General features: G+C 45.1%; 1 protein-coding gene across 25 annotated transcripts in view; it reads left to right on the plus strand.

Moving 5' to 3' along the window:
- The window catches only part of AUTS2 (activator of transcription and developmental regulator AUTS2), a 1,195,032-nt gene that overhangs the window by 938,065 nt on the left and 246,231 nt on the right, over positions 1–10,736 (plus strand). The gene's annotated exons all lie outside the window — the stretch shown is intronic.

Consider the following 10,736-nt stretch of genomic DNA (forward strand, 5'->3'; position numbering starts at 1 on the left):
TCCCGCTTCTGCTGATATGCTAGAAGCCAAGGCTTTTTTTTTTTTTTTTTTTTTTTTTTCAGTAGAAGAATCAAAAGTAGGCCAAGCGCAGTGGCTCACGCCTGTAATCCCAGGACTTTGGGAGGCTGAGGCGGGCGGATCACCTGAGGTCGGGAGTTCAAGACCAGCCTGACCAACATGGAGAAACTTCGTCTCTACTAAAAATACAAAATTAGCCGGGCGAGTTGGCGCATGCTTGTAATCCTAGCTACTTGGGAGGCTGAGGCAGGTGAATCGCTTGAACCCAGGAGGTGGAGGTTGCGGTGAGCTGAGATTGTGCCATTGCACTCCAGCCTGGGCAACAAGAGTGAAACTCTGTCTCAAAGAAAAAAGAAAAAGAAAAATCAAAAGTAATAACAGGAAGGAATGTGTTAGCAACTGTAGAGTATTAGATGTATGGCTGACCTTCCAACCAGCTAGCTCTCTGGTCCCCAGCCCCACTCCACAACACATCCTCAGGTTCCCAGTTCAAAACTTTAAGGCCGCTGAAACCCAGGCTCCATGCACATTCATCATTTTAGCCCCACTTTCAGACATTTATATGTTGGTGCTCATGCCAAGCCACCTTGGAAAACAAGGACAAGTATATGTTCCCCTCCACCTCCTTCCCACCAGTACCCAGCGTGAGGTCTGTACATAGTAGATCCTCCATAAATCTGGTGTAAAACAAAATAAAAGCAGGTGACCTTCTGTAACCAAGATGTGTGTAGCTACATCCATCCACTCCCAGTACTACAACATTGGATTTTTGTTGCTGTTAAATCAAAATTTTAGTCTTTCAGAATTAATTCTCTTTGCTTAAAATTAATTATGACAGGTTGTGTTTTTTACACACTGCTGAAATGTGTAAAGCAGTTTGGGAGAAGAGGGCCTCCTTTCCTGAGTTGATTTATGTTATATATGCAAACTCTATTAATGTTAAACCATGCTTTTCAATGAAATTAAGACTTTCCAGCAAGCAGCTCTCTCCATTTTATTTAAAGATCCTAGTGACTGATGCACATTGTGCCCCTGTTGCTACGATAGGAGCGGAGGATGTTGGATCTGAGAGATCTCATGCTTAACCCTTAAGTGAGAAGTAGCGTGTGGTGTGGGAAGGTAACACAGCTCTCTCCTGTAAGCAGAAATCAAGCGGTGGTCTACTGAGAGCCATTTTATTACTTCCAGAGAACCCTGAAGGTGAAATGAAGGAGGAAATGAAGGCAGGTGGGAAATTAAAGAAAGAGGAGCAGAAATGGAAGTAAGAAGGACGTAAAAATTTCAGTATCTTGAGAAACCTGACTGCCGAACAAAATGTTTGGGCTGGGAAGATGGAGAATGCACGGAGGCCTGCAAGAACATGGGACAGCCATGACATGTGGGCTTTGTTCTTCCAAAGAGATAAATGAGGCCAGGCATGGTGGCTCACACCTGTCATCCCAGCATTTTGGGAGGATCACTTGAGGCCAGGAGTTTGAGACTAGCCTGGGAAATATAGTGAGACCCCATTTCTACAAAAAATTTTAAAAACTAGCCAGGTGTGATGGCGTGCACCTATAGTCCCAGCTCCTCCAGAGGCTGAGGCTGGAGGATCACTTGAGCTCAGGGCATCAAGTCTGTAATGAGTCATGATTGCACCACTGTACTTCAGCCTGGGTGACAGAGTGAGACCCTGTGTAAGAGAGAGAGTCCAGGCGTGGTGGCTCATGCCTATAATCCCAGCACTTTGAGAGGTCAAGGCAGGAGAATCACCTGAGGTCAGGAGTTCAAGACCAGCCTGGCCAATATGGTGAAACCCCGTCTCTACTAAAAATACAAAAATTGGTCGGGTGTGGTGGCAGGCGGCTGTCTGCCACCTGCTACTTGGGAGGCTGAGGCAGGAGCATCGCTTGAACCCAGGAGGCAGAGGTTGCAGTGATCCGAGATGGCACTGCTGCACTCTAGCCTGGGCAACAGAGCAAGACTCCGTCTCAAAAAAAGAAAGAGAGAGAGAGATAAATGAAACATCTGCTCCTTAAAGCAGTAATAGCATAGTCTTTAATATCAGGAGGAAGCGTTATATGTTTTATTTAAAGGTTGTTGATTTATGAACTTTGTACCTGTCTATTAAGAGTCTGGTTCTTGCATGGTTAATGTGTGAAGTTTTAAAATTTGTGCTTCTCATGTTTAAAGCATGATACCCAGCAAGGCTTCTGACACCAGACCTTTCCCATATTCCATTTCATAGAGCATTTCATAGAAAATGTTTCATAGAACATGTCATAGATATGTTCTTTTCGTAGAACAGTTATATATTCTTTCCTTCATCAAACATGGATTGAACACCTATTGTGTGCCAGGTATAGTGATGGGTTCTGGATGAACAAAACGGGTTTTCTTTAGTTCTTTGTAAGTCTTTGACCCCATGGAATTAACCGCATAGTTAATTCCACAGGCATCCTTGGTAACATAGCCCCCTCTGGTAACGTAGCAGACCACAGAGTGACAGGTGGAGGGGACCGAATAGTGAGACAGTCACCTGGGATTCTATGATTCCACGCCCCTGATGCTTTGGGCTGGGGGAGTTGGCTGCTGTCATTTGTGAGGTAGAGTCGCAACCTGGTACAGCACTAAGAATCCATTTCCTTCTTCTCAGTGACTCACTTCCCACCATCTCCAATTGCTCTCTGGTCATAGTTACTATGTTGTTGTTTGCCAGCAGAAACAGCCATGTTGTTGTTTGCCAGTTTGGGGCTTTCTGTCAACCTGAAAGACTTCCTTCTCTCCAGCCAGTTTGGTCTTGCAGATTTTGTTGTGAGGCCAACAACCAGGCTGTGAACTGCCTAAGCCCAGCCAGCCCTTCTTTGAAAAGCCCTGTGGAACTAGGTCATCAGGTTGTTGGATGGTTCTTACACAGACTGTGCTGTGCTGCAACTTTTAATGTGCACTGTCTATGGAATACCAAACTTGTTTCCAAACTAAATAGTTTCCAATGAGGATTTAATGGGAGTTTTTCATTTGAAATGGATTGAAAACAAGCCATTTCCTACTCCCATTTCAAGCAAATTTTGGTCCAATTATTTTCCTTTTTTTAACATAAAGTTAAATGGACTATTCTGCCCATCCCTGACTGAGCTGAACCGTGATTTCTCTTGATTATGCTTTTACACTGCGAATCGCGAGGCTCCAGAGACATAATGGGCGTCTGTGGGAGAGTGGCAGCAATTTTTAAAATCCTGCCAGTGCTTGTCAGCTTCCACTCTGGTGTCTGCTGTGCGGGAAGAAAGCACCCCACCAAAAGAAAAAAAGTCTGCCAACAAAACCAGCGCTGCCCGCCTGTTCTGTGGGGGTTGGCACAGGGATGGGCTCCTCTCTGCAAACCTATGTAGGGCATATTCTCAGCCACTGAGGAAGCCCGGTTTCCACTCATCCAGCCCTACTCCTCCCACTGTTTTCCAGCCATTAGCTTTTTGTGGTGTTGAAGGTTTCTTTCTCCCTTTTTTTTCCTTGCCTCAATTTTTCTTGGTTTCACTTAGACCATAGCCTCAGGGAAAAGGAGCTCTTGGCACCCTGCCTTCCACTTGGTCCTTTACCTTCAGCAGCCCAGCAAAATGGAAAATAAGTGTCTCATAGTCCTTCTTGGGTGGTAGGTTATTTGTTGTTGTGATATTGTTGGTGGAGGTGGTGGTCATTCTCTTGGATTTGCAGAAGTTTACAGAAAACTCGGGAGAAGAAAAGGCTTCTTGCTACCATCCTCTCTCTTTGGGAAGGGCAGCTACCCCCCTAGCAGATATGTGGGGAGCCTACTGGGCAATGCCTTGTAATGGGAACAGCCTCTTTGCTCTCTTACCCAGCAGTGCCAAGAATTTCACTAGGCCCACTGAAGAAGAAACACCCTTCACCCCAGCTACCATTGTAGCTGCCCTACCATTGTGTGCAGCCCGGGGGAAGCACACAGTCGTCTCTGGGTTTCTGGTGAAAGTCCATTGTGCCTGCTCAGGGCTCCTTGGTGCAGGAGCAGTCAAGCCTTCCTGGAGGTTGAAGATCACGTGCTGTGTTTGGTGGCTCCCCACTTGGGTTTCCATCGATTCATGGTATTGGTTTGGGAGGTGCTCACATCCTCCTGCAAGTACCCTGTAGTGAGGCTTACTCTGAGGATGCAGCTACATCTCAAAACATGACTCCACCTCTTCCTGCAAAATCCTGACTGGTACAACTGCCAGCACATCCCTTTGACCTTGAGAAGGGTAAAGCACAGAGGTGGTAGGTGACTTCATTAGCATGACAGAACGTCAGAGTTGATTAGCACTCAGGAAAGGTTGTCTAATGCCAGCCTCTGCCTTTGTAAATGTCTTCAGCATCACCAGGGAGGGGTTGATCTGGTCTCTGCCTGAACTTGTGCTGGAAAACAGTTCTGAGCAGGCACCCCATGGAAACCTCTAATTCATGCAAAAGTCCCCCCCTATGAAGTGAAGTCTGTTTCTGTTGCTTTTTCCCACTGGTGCTACCCCTTCCTGAGTCCACGAAATCTAAATCCAGTCCCCTTTCTACCTCTTATCCCTCCAGGCATTTGAAAGCAGGTACTTATTCCTAGCTAAGCTTTCCTTCTCTAGGCCTGCTTTCAGGTCTTTCAGCCATCCCTCCTATTGCTTGGTTTCCCAGCCCTGCATCCTTCTAATTGCCTTCTTCTAGACATGTTCTGATTTGTTGTTCTGTTTGTTCTGAGCTCTGAGGTACCCAGAATGAGGTGAGAGACTGTCACAGCCCTTGACAGAGACCCATGCCACCTTTTAGTGAAATTGGCTGTTTCGATAGCCTTAAAAGGGTCGTTCATTTATTTCAAGTTTAATCGAGTCATTCTTCACATACATAACTGCTCACCTTATCTGCTCCACGTATATGTGTGATTTGTCATTACTGAACCTATGTGCAAACCACATTTATTCCTAAAGATCATCTTATCAGGATAAGAAGGAACATATTCATTTCTTTAGTCTGCAAAGATATGTTGGATCTGTGTTTTATGATCCAATATACTGCTATTTCCAGCTTCACATCATATGCAAATTCAGCTCAACCACTGTGTGCCAGACATTGTGCTGAACCTGGGGATACAGCAGGAAATCAGACAGCACAGTTGCTTCCCTCACAATTTATTGGGAGGGACAGACAATTGACTGTGCTTTTCCAATCCAGGGTGACAGCACAAAAGAGGGGAACTGCAGAAGCGTAGAGGAAAGGTGCTTCACAGACTCAGGCTTTCTAGGAAATGTGATATTGTGAGAAGTTGGCCAAGGAAAGAGCTAGGGATTAAAGTTTGAGGTAGGCAGAACTACATATGCAGTGTTTGAAAGGTGACAAAAAGCACGGTGTCTTCAACAGCTTATCACCAGGTAATGCTCCTGATCCTCATCAGTGGCTGATGTGAATGTGGAACCTAATAGGATGAAAGAAATTACCATTAGAGGCCTTCATCATCTGCCTTCGGGCACATCAAACATTTATGAACTCACCTAATTGTATTTTTGTCACAGCCACGTTTCTCTGCCTTGACCACTTGAATTGCATGTGAAATGTATTTATGTCTCACTGAATACAGACCTGTTCTGTCTATGTCATTGCTCAAGTTTACCAATCTAAAAAAAAAAGACTTGTTCTTATGACTTGTTCTTCATAACCCAGGTTGGCTTTGAGTGATCCTAAAAGCTTCCTTCCTTCCTGAGAGTTCACTAGCTCTCTTCCTAATAATCTGTTTTATTTTCCAAGTCATTGGTTAACGTAGTAGGTTAGTGGCAGAGTTGCACCTAGACCCCAAGTATCTGAACTCCTAGTCTAGACATCTTTCCTTTCTATTGCTCTGCTCCCCCTTGGCTCATCTTTCCAGAGCAGAGACACTACACAAGGTTTTTTTAAGAGCAGCTGGTCAGTCCCTGCATCCAATGTAGGAGGCAGCAAGCAAGGCTAGCAGTTACGCCAGGGAGAATGCAAAGTGGGGTGTCCTCTTTCCAGGCACTGGCGCAGGCCAGCTACATGGCATTTCATCTCCTTAGCAGGCCTCTGGGGTAAACTTTATGTGTTAAACTTTATGGTTAACAGAGCCCCCTGCTATTCATTGTCTCCTTTATTTATCAACCAGCCCCATGAAGTCAGTGGGGAAATATTCTTGTTCCCATTTAGCAGATGGGGCTCAAAGAGTAGAAGAGACGTGCCCAGAGGCACACAGTTATACTGAGTAGCTGAGCCAGGTGTCTTAAATCCAGGTTGTCTGACTTCTGGTGCCCCAAGCTGACTTCAGATTTCTTTTCTTCTTATATCAATGATGGCATCAACTCCCTGACCTCCCCCTTCTCCAGAATGTTGCCTGGGTGATTGGGTAAGAGGATATAAATAGTAAGTGAAAAAAATAGATTCAGTTCCAAGCACTAAGGGGCTGAGACAACTAGACACTGTGGCAGTGCTACAGACCTTTAGATCATTTTTCTGACACTCTCTAGCTAAAAAGGAACATGGACAAGTGACACCCAAAAGTCCCTAGGCTTAAACCAACTGTCTTGTGGAAATATAATATAAGTATGAGCTATTCTGAGCAGGATGACAGGATTGGAATTCAGTAAAGTTTTAGATGGACTTTGAGATCCAAATAAGGGAGGAGTATTATAAAGAGCTCTATAAAAATGGTTTAAGGAAGGGTGTGGTGGCTAATGCTTGTAACCCCAGCACTTTGGGAGGCTGAGGTGGGTGGATCATTTGAGGTCAGGAGTTTGAGACCAGCCTGACCAAGATGGTGAAACCTCGTCTCTACTAAAAATACAAAAATTAGCCAGGCACCTATAATCCCAGCTACTCGGGAGGGGTGGTGGCGGGCACCTGTAATCCCAGCTACTCGGGAGGCTGAGGCACGAGAATCGCTTGAACCCGGGAGGCAGAGGTTGTGCTGAGCTGAGATCGCACCACTGCACTTGAGCCTAGGCGACAGAGTGAGACTCCATCTTGGGAAAAAAAAAAAAAAAAGGTTAAAAATGCCAAGCTAGCAGAGAGAGGGACTCAGACACACACACCTAAGTTGTTGCTCCAGCCTAAGCTGGCCCACCACTACCTGACTGCAGTTTGTTGCCTGTCCCGTCATGCTTGCCTTCAAAATGCCTTTGGATTGTTCACAAGCTCAGGAGCCATGGGCCTCCTCCTGTTGAGGGGTGTTTATTGTCTAAATCCCTTACATGTGAATTAAAAATAGGCAAAGGTAAAAAGGCAGGAGTTTTCTAACAGGTATGGGAGTGCTGTAGTAGGCCAGTGGCAAAGACTATCGCCATTTTCTTTGCCTGGGACTTGTTGAGTCTTTGAAGTCTACCTGAATTCCAGAGTCTAGGGCTTCTTGATTCCTTAGCAAGAGCAAAGGGATGTGTACCCTCTCTTTCAGGCTTTGGTGAATTAGACCTTGAGACTTCATAATTAAAATGGATTTAATAGAGGCAGGGAAGCTGGGATGTCTGCCCCAGTAAGCAGGCATCTTCTGTCAGAAGGAGAATGTGTCCTTTGTATTTAAACGGTTTCTCCAAAAGGCTCTAAATGAGATTTGGGACTTAAACAAGATTTGGTGTGATTTGCTAATTACCCAAGTTACTATTACCTGATTAACACAGGAATCCTCATAGTCTGTTGCAGTGCCTTTCTTCCGGGTGCCAGGAGGCTTGACATCTGTCACCTGTTCACTTGGAGGCATTTTAAGTAACCCAAATTATGTATGTCTTTTCTGCTTTAGGATTTGGTGCCTGATTTTTACATTTAAAAGTTAATAACTACCTAAAGGAGGTTTGCTGCCAAAATACAAGAGTGAAAACTGACAAATCTGTTTGTTGCTGACAGTGAGGTGGAGATCTTGGTTTATTCATTCCAACTAGTTAGGCCGAGAAATGATACACAGGACAGTACAGAGCTCTTCCTGGTGACCATCACAGGCATCAGGAATAAATCCCCTCAAATCTCACTTTGCCCCACCAACCTTAATTGAGGCCTCCGCTTGAGCAGTGACAGAACTGGAAGGGTTGGAACCAGAAAAGCTAAGTGTCTTTCTCAAAATCACACAGGCCTGCAGTTAGGATTTGTCTTTCGTTGTTTTTTATTTTCAAGATAATAAAAGGTTTCCACTTTGACCACCAGGAGACCATGCTGACTTTCATTTCAGAGATGGGGCTTCAGTGTGATAAAGTGATCTAGGTTAGAGTCTTAGCAGGTTTCCCTTGAGATCTGAATGGCTGCGGGGTGTGCTGGGGGCTCTGTACAGCAGCTGTTAACAGTTTTCTCCTTCCCATGAAGACGGCTTATTTACCTGGGTCTCAGTTCTGAAGATTGTTTCCAGGTATGCTGTGTACTGAAGGGACTGAGCGTGATCCAAGGAGCCTGGGACCTATGTACTTGGTGACCAGACTCTCCTCTCCAAAAGCAGGGACCCAGGGGACCTCATCCAGCATCCTGAGAAGCCTCGCTTTGGACAGGCCTGAAATTTCCCTTCCTTCATCCTAGCTCTTTCATCCAAGACAGTGATTCGGGAAACAGTATTTCAAAATTGAAATTCAGGCCTTGAATTTCAAGTCTAGAAGAACTGTCCAAATCATCGGTAGGAAGAGCTTGGAAGAAAGGGAAAGTCCCACTGTAATGCTAAAAGAGAGCCACCCAGCCAGGGATGGTCTGCATCCAGACCAGAGCACAGGTCAAAGGGAAAGCCGAGAGCAGTTCCCTAAGTTCTGGCATGGCTTTTGGACGCAAAGCAGCTGGGCTGCGGGCATGCTGTAAGGACAGAGGACCCTTTAGGGTTCCATCTCTTCGGAGAGAAAGTCCCTGCTGTTCCAGTTCACTGAGTGTTTAAGAGGAAATAACGGCCTGAGGCATAAGCCACTCACCCATATAAAGTGAATACTTCCTCAAGGGCACAAAGAGACCACTTGGTAAATGACTTCACCCACCTGCTTTAGATGGTGCTCCAGTGCACTGAGAATGTTAACCTCATTCACCCTTCTGTGGATGAGCAGATTATTCCTAGAAAATGGTCCGTTCATGTTTGACCAGGCATAGCCCCACTGTGAATGACAAAGTCTTTTTTGACCTCCCACGATCTTTCTCCCTTTCTGTCTCAGCCAAGCCTTTTCTTCTGGAAGGAGCTACTCTCTTTTGGCTAGACGATCATTCAGAGGAGTCACCTCTGTCCCTCCCCCTACTGATACATCTCAGGGTCTCAGAGCCGTTTATGTTCCCATTTTTGCATCTTGACATAGGGATGCAAAGATGGGAACATCAAGCATCAGTTCTTCCGAGCCTTCATAGAAGGAGTGGGGGGAGTGGGTAGACATGGAGATGAAACAAGACTGGCCATGGACTGATCATTGTGTAAGTCTGGAAATGGTTGCACAGGAGTTAATTTAACTACTTTGTTTACTTTCATATTGGTTTGAAATTTCCCATAACAATAAGCTAAAAACAGATAGTAAGGGATCTCAAGTGTCTTGGGCAGTGGTTTTCCCATTGCCACAATATATGTGGTGAATGGGCATTATCTGCTTGGAAAATTAACAAAATTAAAATTTACATATAGATCAGTGAAAACACTGCTACAGAGTTAACTTAAAATTTTAGCTGGGTGTGGTGGCTCATGCCTGTAATCCCAGCACTTTGGGAGGCTGAGGAATGTGGATTACTTGAGGTCAGGATTTCCAGACCAAGCTGGCCAACATGGTAAAACCCCATCTCTACTAAAAGTACAAAAATTAGCCAGACACAGTGGCTCACGCCTGTAATCCCAGCTACTTGGGAAGTTGAGGCAGGAGAATCGCTTGAACCCGGGAGGTGGAGGTTGCAGTGAGCCGAGATTGCACCACTGCACTCCAGCCTAGGCAACAGAGTGAGACTCTGTCTCAAAACAAATCAAAAAATTTAATATAATATGTGTTCATTATAAAAATCATTCAGGGCCAGGCGTGGTAGCTCATGCCTGTAATCCCAGCACTTTGGGAGGCCAAGATGGGCGGATCACGAGGTCAGGAGATTGAGACCATCCTGGCTAACACAGTGAAACCCCGTCTCTACTAAAAATACAAAAAAATTAGCCGGGCATGGTGGCGGGCACCTGTAGTCCCAGCTGCTGGGGAGGCTGAGGCAGGAGAATGGCATGAACCCGGGAGGTGGAGCTTTCAGTGAGCTGAGATCATGCCACTGCACTCCAGCCTGGGCGACAGAGCGAGACTCTGTCTCAAAAAAAAAGAAAAAAAAAAAATCATTCAGGTACAGCCAGAGAGAGCCACTGTAGATAGTTTGAAATCCAAAGACGTCTTATGTGGGCATTACCCACAGATGTGCATGCCTGTGCAGCTTAATTTTAGATTTTGTTTTCTTTTGCTTTGTTGTTTTGTGTGTTTGATTTCTTTTCAAATCAGATTTATGTTTCTTACCAGCTCGTTTTAACAACTTTATTCAAATATAATCTACATGCCGTAATATTCACCCGTACTAAGTGTATAATTCAGTGATTTTTTAGTAAATTTATAGCGTTGTGTAACTATTGCCACAATTCAATTTTAGAACATTTTCATCATTCCAGTAAAATCCCTCATGCCCATTTGCAGTTAGTCCCCATTACCACTCCCAGGTCAAGGCAGCCACGAACCTATTTTCCATCTCTCTAGATGTGCTTTTTCTGGACATTTCATATAATGGAACAATACAATGTTGGTGGGTTTTTGTTTTGGGAG

The sequence above is a fragment of the Homo sapiens genome, chromosome 7, assembly GCF_000001405.40.
Source record: "Homo sapiens chromosome 7, GRCh38.p14 Primary Assembly".
NCBI classification, from domain to species: Eukaryota; Metazoa; Chordata; class Mammalia; order Primates; family Hominidae; genus Homo; species Homo sapiens.